Source organism: Homo sapiens, chromosome 10 (genome assembly GCF_000001405.40).
Source record: "Homo sapiens chromosome 10, GRCh38.p14 Primary Assembly".
Classification (NCBI taxonomy): domain Eukaryota; kingdom Metazoa; phylum Chordata; class Mammalia; order Primates; family Hominidae; genus Homo; species Homo sapiens.
The window spans coordinates 77,782,273-77,803,699 of NC_000010.11; the positions used below are offsets into that span (position 1 = coordinate 77,782,273).

The 21,427-nt window shown below is 48.8% G+C and overlaps 1 protein-coding gene across 15 annotated transcripts in view; it reads right to left on the reverse strand.

Moving 5' to 3' along the window:
- The window catches only part of DLG5 (discs large MAGUK scaffold protein 5), a 149,946-nt gene continuing 137,037 nt past the window's right edge, over positions 8,519-21,427 (reverse strand). For all 15 annotated transcript variants that reach the window (XM_047425998.1, XM_005270276.5, XM_006718056.4 and 12 more), the window contains 5 exons: positions 14,179-14,322; positions 13,789-13,916; positions 12,577-12,686; positions 11,736-11,845; positions 8,519-10,271 (listed from right to left, as the gene is read on the reverse strand). In XM_047425998.1, coding sequence (XP_047281954.1) covers positions 10,168-10,271; positions 11,736-11,845; positions 12,577-12,686; positions 13,789-13,916; positions 14,179-14,322 — 596 coding nt within the window. In that variant the 3' untranslated portion in view covers positions 8,519-10,167. The remainder of the gene's footprint in view (positions 10,272-11,735; positions 11,846-12,576; positions 12,687-13,788; positions 13,917-14,178; positions 14,323-21,427) is intronic.

Sequence of the window (21,427 nt, forward strand, 5' to 3'; positions counted from 1 at the left end):
GGACATGCACCATGCCCTCTGTGGGCCTCTGTTTTTCATCCCTGAATTCATCCCCCACAGAATGGTTCAGTTGTCATATCTAGCTATCTAATAAGCTTGAGGGCACTGTGTCCCCTAGGGGATGCCCACATGCCTGACCATGCAGGCTGATGCAGTGACAAGCACAAAGTATCGTGATTATAGTTCCTGCTCTCCTTTCCAGGGCTTTAAGCCCAGCACATGATGTTGTGCGTTTCTTGTTCCACCAACTGGCTGCTGTGGAATGACTACGAAACATCTTGGATGACAGTTTAATCCTCGTGGGGTACCAGGTGGCATCTGGGCACAGGTCAAACTTTCCGAGAGCCTTTTTAACCTCTTTCACTGCAGCCAGGAATGGCTGGATCTCTGCTGCTGCCTATAGGGATTACAGTTGTCCCATCCATACACTGGTCTGTGTTGGCTTTTGTCACCTGGGCATGTGCGGCCACCATCTTGACTGCTCAGCTAGTTCTGTACCTGGGTTCTAGAATGATGTCATAATGATGCCATTATGACAGATCAGCCCAAGGCTGCACACTGACCTAATCAACAGGTGCGGCAGAGCTGTGATTAAGAGACTGAGTCAGTTCCCACTTGTGAATAGACAGCATGAAGGCTTTAAACCTCTCTGAACCTGATCAGCATTGGCAATGATCTTCTGCAGATCCAACAACAGCACAGAAGAATGTATCATCAGGAACACATTTGGATATTGACACAACTTCATCTGCAGTTGGCTTGTCATCCTGAGCTCCGTTCCCAGGCAGCGTAGATATTGCACAGGATTTTGCTGACCAGGGAGTTGGGTTATAAGTGGTAACTCCAACCTCTTAATACTAACGACATTGACAGTACCATATAATCCATCTATTACACCACACAGGAAAATCAAGCCCAGTGGTACAGGACAGAAGAACTGGCTCCAGCCAGGATCAAGCATTGCTTTGGCATTGTTCCCCAATACCTGGGCCTTTCTTCTCCAATTGTTGGGGTAACTGGAGTGAGGAGCCTGAGGGGACCCAAAGGTGTTCTCCTGGTAGGATTCCCTCTCATGGTCTTCTGCATTTGTAGACATTTTGATTGGTTCCATTTCTAAGGGCCAATTATCTGTGCTTTAACCTGAAATAAGGAACCTGCCTTCTGATCTTCAAGGATATGTACATGGACACACATCTTTCAGATTCAACTCTTGAGATTTTTGGTTTTAAACAAACAATTGTGTTCATCACAAATGAAGATTCCCTCAAGCAGCAGCCTCCTGGAATCAACTGCTGAGTCCAAATCTTGTAGCCCTTAAAAATATTTAGTATTTTTACTAAGTAATAAGTATTTAGGGTGTTATGAAAAATGCAATTTGAAAAAGTACATTGGTTTTTAAGAACAAGAGGAACTATTTAGAAATTATACAATATATTAACAAAAGTAAATATTTAATATATCTCAAACACAAAAATGCAAAAACTGGTTACCAAGCATCAAGAAAAACTTAAAACTTGTAAAATACAAAGGTTAAATGTATTTTATCTTCATTCTATTATTAGCAGATAACCTTAATAAAAATGAGCTGTTATTTACAGCAAAATATCATGTAATTTTAGATTTATCACTTTTTATTTCTATGGAAAAGCAACACCAGCATGTATTGTTGCTGAAGGTGAAGCAACTTTTTGATTCTGTTCTGTTCCACTCTGTGTTCTAAGATGTGTGTCAGATACCGGCCACACACCCTACATGTGCTCGGGGCACAGCCTGGCCCCACACAGCACTCTAGTCTGCAGGTGGGCATCTAAGGCCCTGCCATTCCCACTTCTTATTGTCATATTTACTTAGTTCTCAGCACCTCTGCCCATCTTTAAATGACTTAAGTGAGAGTATGTTAAAGTAGCTTACATGTTCCTAAGCTTCCTCACAGCACATCCCATCTGTGACAGCAATTCAGAAAAAAACAAATTTTCTTTTATTCTTAATGGTACACAGCATAAGAGAACAGCTCAGGCAGTTTACTGTAATTGACGGTCCTGATATCCTTATCTATAAACTAAAAACTCCCCACAGAAGCTTCTGTAAGTATAATGTTAAATAAGTCTATAAACACAAATAACAGTAACAACAAGAATGTAATCCAAATGCTCAGTTATGGGAAACTAGTGAAGAAATTTACTGGTAAACCCACTGTGATGATGTGTGTGTATGTGTGTGTGTGTGTGCATGTCAAGTTGGCTCAGTGACAGTCCCTAGTTATGTAAGCTAGGTGCTGCTGTGAAGGTATTTTGCAGATGTGATGAATATTAAGAGTATCCTGGACCGGGTGTGGTGGCTCACACCTGTAATCCCAGCACTTTGGGAGGCTGAAATGGGTGGATCATGAGGTCAGGAGACCGAGACCATCCTGGCTAACACGGTGAAACCCGTCTCTACTGAAAAATACAAAAAATTAGCCGGGCGTGGTGGCAGGTGTCTGTAGTCCCAGCTACTTGGGAGGCTGAGGCAGGAGAATGGCATGAACCTGGGAGGCAGAGCTTGCAGTGAGCCAAATCTCTGCACTCCAGCCTGAGCAACAGAGCGAGACTCCGTCTCAAAAAAAAAAAAAAGAGTATCCTGAAAGATCTGGGTGAGCCCGATTCAATCAGTTGAAAAGCTTTAAAAGCAGAAGCCTAAAAAGGCCTTAAAAGTTGAAGCTTCCCTGAAAAAGAAAAGAAATTCCACCCACAGGCAGTGGCGTCTGCTGTACTTGTGCCTGTGGAGTTCCATTCTGCTCATTCACTTCCCTCCTGACTGCCCATAGACAACAGTTGTGGTCTGTGCCCATGACCTCCCTGATTCTGGACTTGCTTAGCCAGCACCCACAATCTTGCAAGCCAATTCCTTTAACAAATTTGTATATATATGAAATACACTGGTTCTTCCTCTCTAATTAAAGCCTGGCCAACACACCCAAAAATTAGAAGGGGATGCTGCTGTTAGAAGGAATAAGGTATACATTTTAGGCCATTCAAGACTCCAATAAATGACAGTAAAATAATAGCAAAGAAAAACCTTACTTTGGGGTTAAGAAATCACAGATTGATACATAAACTTAATTTTGCTCCTCTATTAAAATCCTACTACAAAACAGTAAATATAGTAAAAGAATTTCTTTTAAAAGGACATTAATTTAGAAATACAGGGAAAGCAGAGGGGCAACAACCACAAAATCATTTTAGAAGTTGAAAAGGAGAGAGACCAGTGGCAAATTCCTTAGCAGACCTGAGAATACCACACCCAAAACCAGCAGAAGAAAATGCTAAGAATCTTTAAATACATAGAACTGTGGCATTGTTACCCCATGGAAGTTGGGGTGGAGGGGAGGCTTAAGTATGGAATGGGTAAAAGCTGGGTGAGAAACCCATTCCTAGTTTCCAAACTACAGAGCTACAGCCTTTTCCTCAACATGGCCGAAGCTAGGAGGTTATTCTCTAGAGAGTATAAGTGAGGTTTGGAACTAGGGGATGCCAGCATGGATCCAGAGAATGGGCGCCACACTGAAAACAAAAGGATGAAGTGACCATATGCTGTCATGCTGAACGCTGAGTGCAAAGAGTCCTAGCCTTCTTCCCCTACTGGGCTCCAAGATGCGGCCAGGCCGATCCTTCCCATCACATAGGAAGGGCCCCTTGGGGTAATCTGGCAAATCTCTGAAGACCTAAAGAGAGCACTGCTGTGCTTCCCCAGTGAACAGCCCAGCCAGACCATCCTACAGTGAAACTCAAAAGACTCAAAAGACCGCACTCTCACCCATTTGATCTGGACTTTTACATTTCCCAGGCTTCATCAGTCGACACCCAGTGATTACCTGACACCTGAAGTTAAAACCTCTAATGTGCAAAACCAAGACCAAGGCAAAAACAAACAAACAAACAAACAAACAAACAAAAAAAAACAACCTTAGAGGAAATGGAATTATGTGGGATGAAGAAAAAAAATACTATCCTCAGATAAGATATTGTATTCATGAAACAAGTACAGGAAGATATAAAAGAGTTCTTGGAAATTAAGAACTTGTTAGCAAAACTGAAAAACTCAAGAGAAGGGACTGAAGGATGAAAGTTGAGTGAATCGCCACAAAATAAGAGTAAAATGACAAAACGACACTGGAGTAACCAAAAAATGAGGGAGCTGGCCAGATCCAGGGGCTCACGCCTGTAATCCCAACACTTTGGGAGGCCAAGATGGGAGAATCATGAGGCCAGGAGTTTGAGATCAGCCTGGACAACACAGTGAGACCCATTTCTACAAAAAATTTAAAAATTGGCTGGGCTTGGTGGCGTGTACCTGTAGTCCTAGCTACTTGGGAGGCTGAGGCGGGAAGATCGCTTGAGCCCAGGAGTTGGAGGCTACAGTGAGCTATGATTGCACCTCTGCACTCCAGCCTGGGTGACAGAATAAGATTCTGTCTCAAAAAAAAAAAAAAAAGAAAAGAAAAGAAAAAGAGAAGAGAAGAGAAAATGAGGGAACTGTCCAGGATCCCCAACACATAAATAACTGAAGCTCCAGAAAGAACAGGGAAGTGGCCTGCAGCAGGTGCTCACGGCCCTTGCTGTTTTGGCTCTCTGGGTCTGCGTGTCCACCCCAGCCTCCAGCCTCCCAACCCATACATATCAATCCACACACAAGGATGAACACAGATTTTGCTAGTTTCTTTGTTTTTTGTTTTTGTTTCTGAGATGGAGTCTCGCTCTGTTGCCCAGGCTGGAGTGCAGTGCACGATCTCGGCTCACTGCAAGCTCCGCCTCCCAGGTTCACGCCATTCTCCTGCCTCAGCCTCCCGAGTAGCTGGGACTATAGGTGCCTGCCACCACACCCGATCAAATTTTTGGATTTTTAGTAGAGACAGGGTTGCACCGTGTTAATCAGGATAGTCTCGATCTCCTGACCTTGTGATCTGCCCGCCTCAGCCTCCCAAAGTGCTGGGATTACAGGCGTGAGCCACCGCGCCCGGCCAGACTTTGCTAGTTTTTACTTCATCCAGCCCTGTTCAAGAAGATGATGCATAGGAGAAGATAAACCCAGTGACCCTCCTGTGGATTAAGAATTCAGATCCGAGGCTAAGCCTTTCTCCTCAAGTGTTTCCTCACAGGAAACAGATCCATCGAAGGAGAGGAGGACAGGAAAATCAAAAGAAGTCAACATTCCCAGGAGATTCTCAGCAAAATAGAGGAGAGGTGTCAAGATGAGAGCTGGCACCAGACCCCGAGGGCAGTGATTCTGGCCTGGAGCAAGGATTCAGGACAGACACGTCAGGAGCCCTCAGCACCAAGATCCCTGCGGGCTTCCCGCAGCTCAGCTGAGGACAGGTCACCCGGGCGATCCCATTCACATTCTTTCTACTCGGCTTACCTTGACATGATGGAGAAGCTTCCTGCCCTCCAGATCAGCTGAAGATCCTCACTCCATCCCACAGCAGCGCTCGGCTTTGACGTCCTCCCGAAATCAAAAGGTCAGCTGTGGGGACTACAAAAACAGAACTCAGCAGCCGGCACCCTCCATCCACATTCTTGCCAGATGATCAGGGTCTGGTCCATGGATAGTGTGGCCACGGGCCCTGATGGTGGCAGCCCTGCTACGCCCAGGACTCATTCAAGCCTTGCTGCTCCCTGGCTTCCCCAGAAGGGCCCCTTGTAAATTCTTGGAGAAGCTGAAGTCCACTCTGACCTTGAGATCACATTATGTTCTCCAGCAGACTTCATTCAACATTGGAAACACTGTGCTTTCCCCACACAGCTAATCTGTGCTTGATGCTCAATGTTTTTAAAAATGAACAGTATGTGAAGAGCAAGGAAATTATTCACTACAGGTCAGGCTAGCACTTACTTTGGTAGAGAGGGTGGGGCATTCAACCGGGTGAAGACATACGAGTGCTTCTAAGGTAGTTGGTAGTGTTCTGTTCCTTAAAGATGGAAACACTATCCATTTTACTCTTTAAACTATACATTTATGGCCAGGCACAGTGGCTCATGCCTGTAATCCCAGCACTTGGGGAGGCTAGGGTGGGAGGACTGTTTGAGCCCAGGAGTTCAAAACCAGCCTGGGCAACATAGCAAGATCCCATCTCTACTTAATAACAAAACTATACACTTATATTGGATATGCTCTTCTCTATGGATGACATCTTTCACAGTTGGGGAGAAAAAGAGATAAAAACACATAGTAATAGGGAGAACTAAAGGGGAACCATCAGGAGGCCAGAGACTATATTCTACAAAGGGAGAGCAAATGAAAGAGTATGGACGGACAAGAGAAGGGTGAGGGAACCCACAGGCCAGAAAAGTAGCAGAAGGGGGCAGTACAGAAGGCCCACCCACCCTGGAGCCCCCATCTGCTGAGAGGTCCACCGTTCCCACGCCAGCACGTGCACCCTTGTCTGCGGTTTATGTTCACTCTGCATCCCTTCCTGTACTTCACGTTTCTCTTCATCTTTGACATCATGACCCTTGTGGCCCTGTGTCTCATCAACCCCACAGGAGGTGGCAGCTCGGCTTCCCCAAGCCTCTGGTTAGCCCACTGCTGTTGAGCCTCAAAGCTTTGTCTTGGCTGGAAAGAAAGGCCTGAGGCTTCTGGCCGGTGCTCGGCTTCTACTCCAGAGCTGCTCAGGGTCGGCGCCTAAGCATGAGGTCTCCTCCTGCCTTGAAGCTGGGGTTTCCCACAGTCTCTGCTAGGCCAGGAGCAAAGTCAAGCTCCATTTGAGTCCTGTTGCCCACCCATATCACAGAATCATAGCTGTTAGCATGGGAAGGGGCCGCAGAGGTCATCTCATATTCAATTTCTTGGTCTCATGGCTGGAGTTGAAGAATCTGCTCTGCCTTTCCAGAATGATCTGAGCCAGTGTGAGACAGACACCACCTCCAGGAGGAGGCCCATTTGGCTGTGCCCACAACCCCGCCCCCCAGCACAGTCTCCATGTGGGGTAAATAAGCCTCTAACCCACCAGGGTACAAATCCTTTCAGGGCTGCTTGACAGCATGTCTCGGGGCTGCCCTGCAAGGCCCGTGTGTCCAGAAAGAGCGATCTCAGTGACTTAAGTGCCTTCCACCTGAAAAAGACATAGGATTTTCCCCCCCTTGTAATTATAAAAGAAAACCAAGGTACCTGTAGAAAATCTGGAAATTACAGAAAAATCTAAAGAAGAAAATAAAATCACGATGGCCTAAGTGCAACTGTGAAGGTTTGGCATCACACCTGAGCTCTGTGAAAGAAACCAGCCCTAAAACCAGCAGCCACCACCCCAACCCCTACACCCCCATCTGCCCAGTCAGTGACTTAAAATCCATCGTGTTAGGCCGGGAGTGGTGGCTCATGCCTGTAATCCCAGCACTTTGGGAGGCCGAGGCAGGCAGATCACCTGAGGTCGGGAGTTTGAGACCGGCCTGACCAACATGGAGAAACCCCGTCTCTACTAAAAATACAAAATTAGCCAGGTGTGGTGGCGCACGCCTGTAATCCCAGCTACTCAGGAGGCTAAGGCAGGAGAATCACTTGAACCCAGCAGGTAGAGGCTGCAGTGAGCTGAGAGCATGCCACTGCACTCCAGACTGGGCAACGAGAGCGAAACTCCGTCTCAAAAAAAAAATATATCAACGGCTCTGCTGCCCATTCTGAGGATGGCGCAGGGTGTGGGCTGTCAAGGAGACAGAGGCAGGCCCTGTCCCTATGGACACAAGGGCCCACTCCAACTACCAGAGCCCCGCACAGCTCTGTGACACCCCGTGGCCACAGGTGAGATCAAGACTGCAGGGCCACAGTGGAACTTCACCCAGCAGGAAATGATGAGGGAGGCATCCACATCAGTCTGCCCCCACCAGCCTGGCCACCAGTGGAGTGTGAGTGAAGCTTCTGGAGAACATTCTGCCCCCAAGCCCCTCCAAGAAAAAGGATCAGAGAAGGAGGGCTCTGCTCTGCCCCAGGCCTCAACCTGGCTTCCTGCAGCTAAAGGCCCAGCCTCCCAACTTCCTCATCACCTTGCAACACGGAGTTCAGGCCCACGTGGGCTGTTCTGGGAGTCCAGCAATGCTGGGTGATCTCCCAGTGTGATGCTGTCAGGTACTACAAAGCAGCCCCCAAGCAGGTGGGGCCATTCCCAGCCAAGGGCCCCAGACAGGGCCCTGACTGAGAATGCTACCCAGAGCACTCAGCTCACTCCCTTTTGCTTTTCCCAAGCCTGCAGAATTGAATGTGAGGGCCAGAGGGCAGAATCTGGGTCTCACACAGATGGGCAGCCTGGCTGCAGTCACCAGTTCATGCCACACTGGACAGATGGGTGGCAGGGAAGGGCAGGAAGGAGTGAGAGAGAGGCTGATGCAGCGGGTAGCAGGGACTGCAAATTGTCATGTGAGACAGAAAGAACCTACACATCAGCCAACTCCAGCTACGTGCTGCAGAGGAGAAGCTGTCTCAAGTTTAGAAATACAGGAAAGCTGACTGACTAGGAAGAGATTAAAAACTCACATCTTCAAACACAGCCTTACAGAAATTGACCTTTATTTGTTGTACTAAAGCCTGTTTAACTTTTGATACAAAGTAACATTTTAGTACAGAAAATCCCAGTCTGTCAGCTCAGTACCTGTCTGTGCACACTGTACCATCTCAGTCCCACTCTGCCTGTAACTTAGAAAACAGCCCCTACCCCCAGAGGGTCTGCGAGTTAATACCTTGAGAATAGTCTACAGTTTTTCATAGTTTGTCTGAGCTAGAAAACTTGTACCTGTAAAACAAAGGACAGCATTGAGGACTGAAACTTGTCTCTTTTTTGAACAACTGTGCAAGAAAATATATCCCTTTTTAAAAAACATCAGTTATGGCTAAACTACAATCTAGTGTCTAGAATTACAAAGAATAAAATGAAATCAAAGATTTCTCGCTAGTAAAATGAAATGTTAGGAACAGTATTAAAATATAGGTCCTACCCCAACGACACTTACACAGAGCCCAGTACAGTACCTATTATTAACAGGACGCATAGCTTAAGGAGGAACCACATCAAATCTTCAGCCAGACATATCTAGCCTCAGAAGTGCAAAAAAAAAAAAAGCCCCCAAACGAAGACACCCACACTGAGTAGGGTGCATGCCGTGAGTGCTGTAATCAAGATTAAAAAGACCTCAGTTTTTCTTTTTAGACTGTTGATAGTGACAATAACCATTATGCTTCCCCTAAAAGCTCTCAATTCAATGTCTGAAACATGAATGTTTTCATATCAAAAAGAACTGATGTACCTGCCACCCTCTAAAAAGTTTAAGAATTACCCTGCAAACATTGCACTGATGAAGGCTGTCACGACTTACAGAGCCTAAGGAGGACCCAATGGCAGGCATCAGCACAGCTGAACACCACCTGGACCCCACTGCAGCCCTGCCCACGCAGCTCTCACGGAGCAGACACAGTCCTCAAGTAATAAGCACAGATGGAGGAGAAACGAGAGGCTGTGGAAGGCAGGAGAGAAAGGCCGAGAGACGAGTTTGTAAGAATGCCAAAGTCACCTTCCCCATTGTGGGAGGAAAATGCCAAAGGCACTGGTTCTGCTGCCACAGGCAGTCTGAGCACCTGGAGTTGTGACGTCCTTCCAGGAGAGGTGCCACCAAGGAGCAGGAGGTTTGTCAAAGCTCTGGTCCCACCAACAAGAACCTCCCAAAGCAAAGCAGCCCCCATTGAGGTTCCAAGGTCGTTTTGCTGAAGACGGGAACGAAACCAACACCAAAGCGACAGGGGGTTGACAGAGGGGACAGGGGCTGGGCACCGGCAACATGGAGCCGTTCAAGTAAACATAAACCACCAAATACTTAGAAAAGGCTTGTAAACGAGTGATCCGAAAGGTTCTCTTTGCAGCATCTCTGATCAGCTGGCTAAAGAAAGGTGGGTGCTGAACCCGTCTTTAGTGTTATCTGTTTTGTGTTAAAGCACACGTGTGACACGGGCAGAGTGTGTGGGCCTGGGCCTGGATCGCACGCAGCCGTGGCCCTCTGTCTACAAAGGAGGTGCTTCTGGGTCCTGGTTCCGGATCCTTCCCCCGCATGTTCATAGACGGACAGACTTCTACTTTCAGTCGCTAGAAAAGAGCTGAGTCTGGTGTCCCCTCAGGCGGCCAGCTGCAGTCATCCACAGCACAGCATTCTCCTAGAGCGGGCAGGCTGGAATCCACAGGACTTTATTTTGTTCTTGATTGACCATTGCCAAGATCTGAGTGCAAATGCTTGACAGGGCTCCTCCCTGGATGACCCCTGCAAAAGAGCCCCCCAGACACGTCATTCAGCTCAGAGTAAGACCCCAGGTTTGAGGCAAGGCAGTACAGCTTGCACTCTTTCTACTGTGTGGCTGTCTGCTTTGTGCTCCTTGGCACTCTGCTCCATCCCCACCTGACTCTCCTTCACCAGCAAGAAACTGGGAAAGAAAATTGCCCCTCTTGAGTTGATCACTCATATGTAAACTGCCCACCCCACTGCAGTTAACACCCTGGGTTGGGTTTGCAATGGTTGGGGGAATCCCAGGGCATCAGAAGGAAGTTTGGAGGACATGTGGCGGTGGTCTAATCATTAGCAGGATTCTGCAGGAAACGACAAGTTTAAGGAGCCAGATAGCTCATGGCCAAGAGGAGAGTCACAGAAAGATGATGGCGCCAACTTGGGCCAGCCCTGTACTATAGGAGTTTGACAAAGGGGTCTATAGACACCAGGCCAGGGGTACTCCAGTGTGCTCCACATAACAGCACCTGGACACAAACCAAGCCCCTACTGCAACAAGGCATGCTCAGAAATTGACAGTGAGTGTCTAGAAACTGCTATGGAAACAGGACGTCGTAATTTTATGTCTGTTGAATCTAACAAGAAAAAAATAGAGCTTACCTTTTGCAAGACTTAGAGTTTTAAATTTTCATCTCTCTAGGAATTGTCAGTGTATTTGGCTAAATACCAGTCTGTGAGGAATTGGAAATGAAAGTTCACACACACACCCACACACACACACACACAGAGGCATGCACACCTGCACATACCTACACACACATGGGCACCAAGCCCAGGTCCCTGGACTAGATCATAACACTCTCCACAATGCAGTTAGAATCCCTGTCCCATCCTCTGTGACTGCAAATGCTAATGCCCTGCAAATGACAGACTTTCCCAAAGAGGCTGAAGGCCAGAAGGTAAAATAGAACCAAACTTCACTGAGTTTGTTTCACTTTGAAGACCAGAGATGGTAAGGGGACAGCATTGTTTTTTTTTGTTTTGTTTTTTGTTTTTTTTTTTTTGGAGGGGGGTTTGCCAAATCCCGCTGCAAAACGGGACTGCCCTGGAGGGTGCTAGGGACAGATGGGCCCCTAGCCTCCGCTGCCCACACTGCTGGCACACTGGGGGCTGCTCCAGTCCCCGCCCTGCCTGGGGACACTGTGGCTGCACTAAACTGCACCTGTGCTATGAGACAGACCCACCACTGCACGTGTGAAAATGAGCAGGCAAGCCAGGCAGGACCTGAGGCCAAGATCGGTGAGCTTAACATTCAACCTGTAAGAATCCTGACGTTGGCCAGGGACTGCAATCTGAACACCTGACTTGTCAGGAACGTGCTCATGACAGCACTTGGGAGCATGTAGAAAGTGCGGGCTTCTCCACGGCTAAGAAAACAGCCTTAGGAAGCCTCTGCTTCCTTCCCTGCTGCCTGCTCCCCACTCCAGGCCCACGCACACCTACCTGTGAAGTACCTGCTGTACTCCTGCTCAAGCTTCTGCGCCGCCTCAAACTGCTCTTTGGAATGCCTCTGAGTCACCTTGTCCCTCAGGTAGATGGGGTCTCTCTGCTCCCTGTGGGGACAGCCAGACACCAGGCTGAGCACTGAGCCTCCTCCAGGCCCTCTTTCCTTCCTCTGTCCAGGCTAACAGGGGCCCCATCAAGGCAGGGGTAGGCTGTGGAGGGAGGCCCCATGTGCTCCCCACATAAAGCACAGCAACAGCCTGTAGGCTGTCGGGGGAGCTCTGGGCAGATGGGGGAAGGAGGGCCCCCCAGCACACACACTTGGAACAGATGCACCAGCAGCCCCTAGCGCAGGTCCCAGAAGCTCAGCAGCACAGAAAGGCAAAATGGAGCAGGGCCTTGGTGAGCCCTTGGCCCAACCAGCACAGGAGCCGAAGCTCAGCGAAGGCAACGGCTCCTGAGTCATGAGCCAGCTCGGGGCTGAGTGGGACTGTGCCCAGGCCACTGGCTCCCCTGCTCCTAAGCAGCACGTAGCGAGGAAAGGGGGCTGGGGCAGGAGAGGGGAGCTGTGCAGACCAAGCTGGCCATGCCCAAAAAACAGTGGCAGCACCCAAATGGCGGAGGGGCGCGAGGAAGGGGCTGCGCTTGGCTGACACCACCTCTGAGTAGGGGACAGGGCCGACAGGGAAGGGTCATTTTCTACACGTACTGCCTATTTCAAGACCCATAGGCCCATCTCTCATTCCTCAACCCCCCACCCCAACACACCCTGCTCCCTACTTGGGCTCCCAGCCCCACCTGTGACAAGGCCCCAGCGGAGCCCAGGGGGCCAGTTACCTACTTGATGTGCTTGGCGCTCTTGTAGTGGATGAAGATGACAATGGGGTAGATGTGCATGTGGTGGAGCCGCTCAATAGCGTGCGGAGCAATGTCCAGGAGGCAGTGTCGGTTCTGGGGTGGGGGGTGCAGAGTGAGCCCTGGCGGGCAGTGAGGGGCAGCCAGCCCCCTGTCCTGCCACCAGCAGGACCCACCTCACCTCACAGGGCTCTACCCACAAACAAGGCAGTAAAGCCACACAGTACACCGTGGGGAAACCATACCCACGAAACTCCCAACAAACCCCACTTGCTGTGAGGAAGGCCAAGGCTGGGAGCCAGGGCTTAGGGGGCTAGGGGTGCTGGCCAGCCCAACTCCAAACTTCCTTTCCCGCCTTTGCCCAGATACAGGGACCTTCTGAAAGCCCTGCCCCACCCTGGCCTCTGAAGCCTTATTTTTGCCAGACTGAGCGAATGAAGAGCCAGAGTCTGGTGAGCCTTTGTGTGGCTGAGACTGAAATATGTCTGTCATGTCTGTCGTCCCAGGCATCCAGGTGGAGTGCAGGCCCGTGCACTCCCGACCCCCAGATGCTCCACTGGGGCATTCCCCCAAGTAGAGTTTGCCCACTTTCAGCAGTGAGAAGCCAACACCTTCATCTAACAGAGAAGGGAAGCAAAGCCCAGCGAGCGAGCTGAGCAGCCTGGAGAAATGGAGCCCAAGGAGCGGCTGTGTCCTTGGACTCCGAGTGTTTGCCCCACCAGCACTCCCCACAGACGTCCCCGCCCTCGTGCTGCCTAGGATGTTCGAAGGCACCGAGAGTCATAGCCCTTTTAGGGGCAGGGACCCTGAGGGAAGGCACGTTCCTGTCCCCAGAAGGTGCATGTGAAATTGTTCGGCACATGCATTTGGGGACCCCGTTCCGGAATGCCCTGCGAGAGGCCTTTCCGCAGAGCTCAATACTCTCATCAGAGATGAGACCCCCCGCACCTGCCAGAGAGGAAGATGGGGCGGCACATACACAGGGGAACTCCTCCATCCCCACCAAGGGATGTGCTTGCAGAAACACACAGCAGCCATGAGGGCAAGCCCAGGCACAGGTGAACTCAGACTAACACAACACGGTGGGCTCACTGAAGGTCTGAGCCGCTGGGGCAGAGGATCACGGACCAGGGGCCTAGACCTGTGCACAGGAGGTCTAATACTGGATGCCTAATCCTCAGACTGAAGCCCTGGGTACCTTTTCTGTGATCTCCTTTATTGACGCCACAGTGGTCACATCGAAATGGCCGCTTCTCCGCTTATAGTCGACAAACAGGCAATCTTTGACACCCCGCTCAATGGCCTGCTGGGAGGCCTTCATCACCTCTGCAATGCACAGACACAGGAATCAGGGAGCCCCAGGCCCTGCTGAGCCCCAGCAGAGGGAGCAGGGGAAGAACACTGCTCAGCAGCTGTCAGTAACCCAGTCCTGCCATGCATGAATCTGACCCATGTCAGCAGGCTTCTGGAACACTGTGAAATCTGCCCCCCGGTACTGCCACCCACTGTGCACAGCTGGGCAGGCAGGTGGACAGGGACATAGAGACAAAGAGCCCAGTAGGCACAGAGGGTGCCCCGTGCCCCTTACCAAGGGGACATCTGCAGAACTTGCCAGGAGCCTCATTCACCAGCATCTCCTTCACCACGTCCAGCAAAGGCCCCAGAATCAGGACAGGCCTCAGAGCGGTGCAGTCCACCTTCTGGACCCGCTGATAGGCCAGGCTCACCGAATCTGAGGGAGAGAGAGCAGCAGCGTCACGGACCCAGCTTGGAGTGGAGGACCTGAGTGGGGCTGGGGAACCCCGCTCCCTGACCTCGCCCACTCTGGTTTGCCTGGGACTCCCCCAGCTTCAGCACTGAAAATCTCGTGTCCCAGGCACAACCGGGCATCGTCACCCCTGGAGTCCAGCATGAGCACCCCCCATGCCCTCTGTGAACACCAGAGGCAGCTGGTCTCAACCACTCATCCCAGAGCTTCCTTCTGCTCTGATTTTTCCTCGTGGGTCGACGCCTGCTTCCCCTGCCCCATCTCCATTCTCCTCTGCTCTCTGGCAAGGCAGCCTCTGGGGTTTGGCAGGTAAAGCTCCCACTCCCCAGGAAGGTGTGGTCAGTGTAACCCAGACCTGCCCAGTGACAGGTGAGGCCTCCCCAATCTGCACGGCTAGAACAGGTGAGTGCTGTGAGCCAGCTCTGGCCATGCAGTTGAGGATAACCCTTAAGAAATGGCAGAGGCACAAGATGGAAGGGACCTGGGTCCTGGATGATCCTCAGAACGCAATGCCTCTCCCACATCAACCACAGCTCAGACTTGTACATGACAGAGAAATAAACTGCCCATTATGCTTAAGCCACTGTTATTTGGTTTCAGTTAAAGCAGTCAAACCAATATCCTAGTTGATACATGCAGTAAACCTCCCCTTGCACCAAATGAATAAAGTCCTTGCAGGGAGACACAGTCTAAAACCCAGCAAGATCTTCCTGGCGTCTCCCTGGTATAAGTCACTGTGCTGGAATCTCAGAAACATAATAAAGAATAGAACACAGAGTTCCTGCCATTAAAAAGCACACACTTTAACTAGAGTCACAACAGAGCAACACATGAACAGCAAGAGAGCACGCAAGAGCTGCCTGGCAATTCCAGGAGCGGCGGGCTTCAGTAGACACTGTGGCTGGATGACAGGGTGAAAAGACCACTTGGGCAGGCCCAGGAGGGAAGTGGGATGAGAGTCTCCAGAAAGAGCAGGGCAAGAGGATGAGTATGGAGATGATGGGGAGGGCAGAGCACAAGATGACTGCAGGCTTGGGAGGAAGGGTCCATGAGAGGCTTGGCCTGGAGGGATCTGTACGCATATGCAGAACAAGGAGTGACTGCAGAGCAGGCACAGGGACCAGGAGGCAGAAGGCTCAGGAGAACACAAGCACAGTGCCAGCTGCAGCAGCAGGCTCCATGAAGAGCAACCTGTGGGCAAACTCAGGGAGTAAGTAAAGTCTCTCCTCTCCTCTTGCCCTGTCCCTGTGTGTGTGTTTTTTAGAAGTGATCACTGCTGGGCATGGTGGCTCACGTCTGTAATCCCAGCACTTTGGGAGGCTGAGGCAGGTGGATCGCTTGAGGTCAAGAGTTTGAGACCAGCCTGGCCAATAAGGCAAGACCCCTTCTCTACTAAAAATACAAAAATTAGCCGGGTGTGCTGGCGCACACCTGTAATCCCAGCTACTCAGGAAGCTGAAGCACAACAATCACTTGAACCCAGGAGGCGGAGGTTGCAGTGAGCCGAGACTGCACCACTGTACTCCAGCCTGGGCAACAGAGCAAGACTAGATCTCAATAAAAATAAATAAAATAATAAAACTGATCATTATCCACATACATCCACACAGTCTTTTACACAGCACTTCCTAACCTGGTGACCAGCAGCTCTGTTGTTTAAAACTGGAGGAGGGTTTGGTGGTCACATTCACCACCTTGGAACCCCATGTGGTCCCGAGTGAAGGCTCTGAGGAGGAGTCACGGGGCAAAGAACTTCCTCCGAGAGGAGTTTACATAAACAAATCCTCTCTGTAACAAATCTGAACCTCACGGATAAGGCCAGCACTCCTCTCTGATACCCCTTCCCCAACCTCAGTCCCCACTGGGCTCCTTGAAGGTAACCACTATTATGAGCTGGAAGTGTATCCTAGTTCTTCTTATAAACTGATTTTTATATGCTAAAGAAAACCTAGAATATATATTGTTTAAGTGTGTCTGTGGATACTTTATAACTCGCTCCTTGTCCGGGGCTGTGTTTCTGGGAGGCATCCCTGGTGATTCGTCGTGGGCCGCTCTGCTCCTTTTGGGCATCCCATTAACACTTATTCTGGATCGACTTATCCACTTCCCTGCTGATGGACACTACGTCACCATTCCCTCCATTTACTAGTATAAGAATCATATTCTCAAATTATGGCACAGTTGCTATAGGGTGGAATTCAATATAGTGCTTAAAAGAATGGTTTGGAAGAATATTACTGAGATGGGAAGATGCTAACAATATGATAGTGGAAATACCTGGATGAAAACAGTGTAATGCAGTGTAATCCCAGCTTTGTTGTATTAAGTAAAAAACTGGTAAGAAATACATTAAAATGTTAATGGTTAAAAAAAACCATATTCTCCCTTAATGATTACTAACATTCCACACTATGGGGTACCAATTTAGGAGATTCTTTTTCCTCCCTGACAATCTTCTTTGTCAGATGTCCTCACAATTACAGAATTGTAAGACTAGACAGCATCTTATGAGTCACTGACTCCAACTGGAGAAGAAAAACAGCCTATCCAAGGTCACAGCTAATCAGGGCAGAGCAAAGGCATGGTCCTGGGGGTTCCAACCTTAGACCATACGGCAATGGCTTTCTTTAAAAGGTGCTGTGGACTGAACTATGTCCCCTCGACATTTATATGTTGAAGCCCTAAGCCCCAGTGTGACTACCTTTGGAGACGGAGTCTTCAGGAGGTAAGTTAAATGAGGTCAGAAGAGCAAGGCCCTAATCTGATAGAACTGCGGCTTTTTAAGAGGAAGAGACACCAGAGATCTCTCTGTCTCCAACATGTGAGGACACAGCAAGGAGGCAGCTGCGTACAAGGCAGGATGACAGCCCTCACCAGAACCAACCACACTGGCACCCAGATCTCGGATTTCCAACCTCAAGAACTGTGAGAAAATGAATTCTTGTTATTTAAGTCACCTAGTCTGTGGTATTGGTTTTTTGGTTTGTTTTTGTTTTTGAGATATGCTCTTGCTTTGTTGCCAGGCTGAAGTGGAGTGGCACAATCATAGCTCATCGCAGCACTGTACTCCTGGGCTTAGGTGATCCTCCAGCCTCAGCCTCCTGAGTAGCCGGGACTACAGGCACACGCCACCACACTTGATTAGTTTTTTAAAGTTTTTGTAGAGATGGGAGTCTTGCCATGTTGCCCAGGCTGGTCTCAAACTCCTGGCCTCAAGCGATCCTCTTGCCTCAGCTTCCCAAAGTGCTGGGATTACAGGTGTGAGCTACCGTGCCTGGCCTGTGGTATTTGGTTACAGCAGCCCTAGCAGACTAACATAAGAGGAAAACCAGTCCTCCATATATTCCTGAGACACTCCCGCACAAGCCCCTAAAAGAGCAAGCATAAAGACATGCAGTGTCCTCTGGGTGGTGGAGAGTTGAGTCCACTTAGACCATTGCAGGTGGGTGCACAATCAGCAGGGTGGGGGGTACCAGGGATGCTATGCAGCAGTTGGAAGCAATAAACTAAAGCAGGAATTCAAAACCCACTGTGCATTAGAATTAGCTGGGGTAACTTTTAAACTACTACACAGGGATTACCACTCCCAGGTATAATGGAACAGCTTGCAGCATCCCTTGGAGAACACCTAGAAAATCTGGGTAAAAAATGAGAAATATCTTTTTGAAGGCATCGTAGAGTGGCAGAGACAAGACAGAATTTGAGATGCCAAGATCCTGGAGAGAAGGAAACTGGAGTATTAGAAGCTGACATTCTGCAGGCCTTTCCCCCTTCAGAGCAACTGGAGACTTCTAAAGTGAGAGTGAGGGGCAGAGAACCCAGGCAGAGGGCCGCCGCTGAGGGGCTGAGAACCCAGGCACGGGGCCGCCGCTGAGGGGCTGAGAACCCAGGCACGGGGCCGCCGCTGAGGGGCTGAGAACCCAGGCACGGGGCCGCCGCTGAGGGCTGAGAACCCACGAAAAGTTTCTGAAAATCTCCAAAGCAGGTGAGATCAAAACGGAGTTCAGGGCTGCCAGGACCTGGTGGGTCATTATTCCAGAGGAAGGGAAGGGCAAAGAACTAAGTCTGGTATCACAGGTTTTCCCTTAAAGCCATTTGCCAAATTCTTAAGCTGTGAAAAGCAAGAAGCTAAGCATCTAAGACAGTCACTAAGACACTGAGCAGTGTTCCATGGCCTCCCAGTGCTGAAGAGTGAGAAACTGGAAGTCAAGGCTCCCTAGGGAAGAGCGGCCCTAGGGAACACCCCAGGCTGGGACCACTGGTGGGCCACCCCCTAGGGTCAGGTGAACCACCAGCTGCACAAAAGCTGCAACCCAGCCTGAGGTCAGCTGAGTCTGTGGCTGGATCAAAGTGATCTGCGAGCAGCGGCTATCTCCAGAGCAGAGGGCAGACCCTCTCTGGAAGCTGGCAACATCACTCGGAGCCCTGAAAATCCCCTAAACATAACTTCTGACATCTCAATAAACAATAACTAGGCATATCATGGGGCAGGACCAAGAAAAACAAAGACCACAGAAAGAGACTCAGGGATGACCACACATGACAGTTACCAAACGCAGTCTTTACAAACATATGATTCAAGTATTTAAGAGGACAGATGACAAGAGGGAAAGTCTCAGCAGAGAATTAAAGCCTGGTAAAAAAGAACCAAGTGGAAACTCTAGAGTGATAAATAAAATACAACTTCTGAAAGTAAGAACATAATGGATGCAACAGAAGAGTGGAATAATGAACAGGAAAAAAGAGTAGAAAACAACCAGGCTGGCTGAATCATGGAGAGAAAGAAAGAAGTGGAAAATGCAGGAGAAAAAGAGCCCAGAAGACAGGAGACAGACAGGGTATTGTCGAAGAACAAAAACCCCGAGGAGAGGCAAGGTCAGCACAGAAGCAATATGAAAGAAACTGCGGCCAGGAATCTCCAAAACCGACCACACCACCAAACTACAGATGTAAAAAGTGCTAAGCACCTTCTGAGCAGGATAAACACAAAGAAAACCACACGGGGGAAGCACGGTGTGGTAAGAAATTAAGAAGTTTCTTTCTGAGAAAGGAAGGCAGAGAAAACCCTACCCACTCATGGTGGTGGACGGGTGGTGGCACTGCCTTCAGCACTGAGCCTGGAAAGATGACTTCTCACCAGCAATGAGTGTGGCAGGCTGACAAGTGTCCCCCAAAGACTGACTCATGTCCTAAGCCCCAGATCCCATGAGCATTACACCTTATGCAACAAAAGAAGCGATGATTCAGTTAAAGGCCTTGGGAGGAAGGGCTTTTCCTGGAGTATCTGGGTGGGTCCTAAATAAAACCCCACGGGTCCTCTGAGAGGCAGAGGGAGTTGAGAGAGAGACCCACGTGGAGGACGAGGTGACGTGAAGATGGAGCAGATGAGATTTGAAGATGACAGTGATGTGGCCACAGCAAAGGCTTGGCAGCAGCCACCAGAAGCTGGGAGGGGCAAGGAACAGGCTCTCTCCTCAAGCCCGGAGGGAGCGAAGGTTGGCCAACAATTTGACTGACCCAGTGGTCCTGAGTGTGGACTTCTGGCCTCCAGAACTGTGGGAGGATAAACCTGTGTGTTTGAAGCCACACAGTCTGTGGTAATTGGGTACAGCGGCCACAGGAAACTACTACACAAAGAGAGCCAGGGACCAGGAATGATATCTTTAAAGCACCCAAGTAAAACATCCACCAATCTAAAATTCTATATCCAGTGAGAATCTCCAAAAACGATATTAAAATGGACATTTTCAGACACAAACACTGACAGGATGTGTCACCAAAAAACCTGCACTACAAGAAAAACATTTCTGCAAGTTGTTCAGCAGAAAGAAAACAAAATCAGAAGCACAAAACTGCAGGAAGGAATAAAGAGCAATGGAAATGTAAAAGGCAAAAACCGATGAATAATTGATGTGCAAATGGACAGACTGAGTCAGAGTTAAAGTATCTGTAGAATTAAAATGAGAAAAGTATGGCCGGGGACAGTGCCTTGCGCCTGTAATCCCGGGTGCAGTGCCTTGCACTTTGTGAGGCTAAGACAGGCGGCTCACTTGAGGTCAGGAGTTTCAAGACCAGCCTGGCCAACATGGTGAAACCCCGTCTTTACTAAAAATACAAAAATTAGCCAGATGTGGTGACAGGCACCTGTAATCCCAGCTACTCGGCAGGCTGAGGCAGGAAAATCGCTTGAACCTGGGAGGCAGAGGTTGCAGCGAGCCGAGATCGTACCATTGCACTCCGGCCTGGGCGACAGAGCGAGATTCTGCCTCAAAAAATAAAATAATAAAAAAATAAAATGCGAATAGTATCAAAGTTAGAAAAGAGATAAATGGAGTTAGTGGTTTGATGTCTTAGAATTATCAGGGAAGTGGCCAAAGCAATGATTTCTCTTAGCAGTAAGTCAAAGGTGCACACTGTGAGGTCTATTTTAACCCCCAAAAGAATAAAATAGAAACAACTAAACACTAGTGGATGTGAGAGGATAACAGTAGATGATATAGGGGCAGAATAAAACAAAACACATGATTCATTTTTAAAAAGCAAGAAAGAAGGGACAAACATAAACGAGGTAGAATGAATAGAAAACAAACAGTAAGATGGGAAATGTCTACTTTATGTAATGAGGTAAATACTCTTGATGAAACAATCAAGACTGCCACAGGGGTGTTCAGATTGTGGAAATTCCTCACACTGCTCACTTTTCTGTAAATGAATGTGTGCATTGCTGTATGTATGTTACACTTGGATAAAATTTTTAAAAAGACAGATTGCCACAGTGGATTTAAAAAGTCCCACATGCTGCTTATAAGGGATATTTAAATATAAAGTGACAGAAAAGTTTGAAGTAAAAGAAAAAGATAAACTGTGCCAAAGATAACCAAAAGAAAACTGGTAATGTCAATAAAAATATCACGTAAAATAGACTTTCAGAAAGAAACATTCCTGGAGATCAAGAAGGGCATTTTATAACGATAAAAAGGTTAATTTACCAGGAAGGTGTAACAATGCAAAAGGTGTATGTATCTAACGACAACTTCAAGATATATATTGAAAAACACCTGAAGAGCTA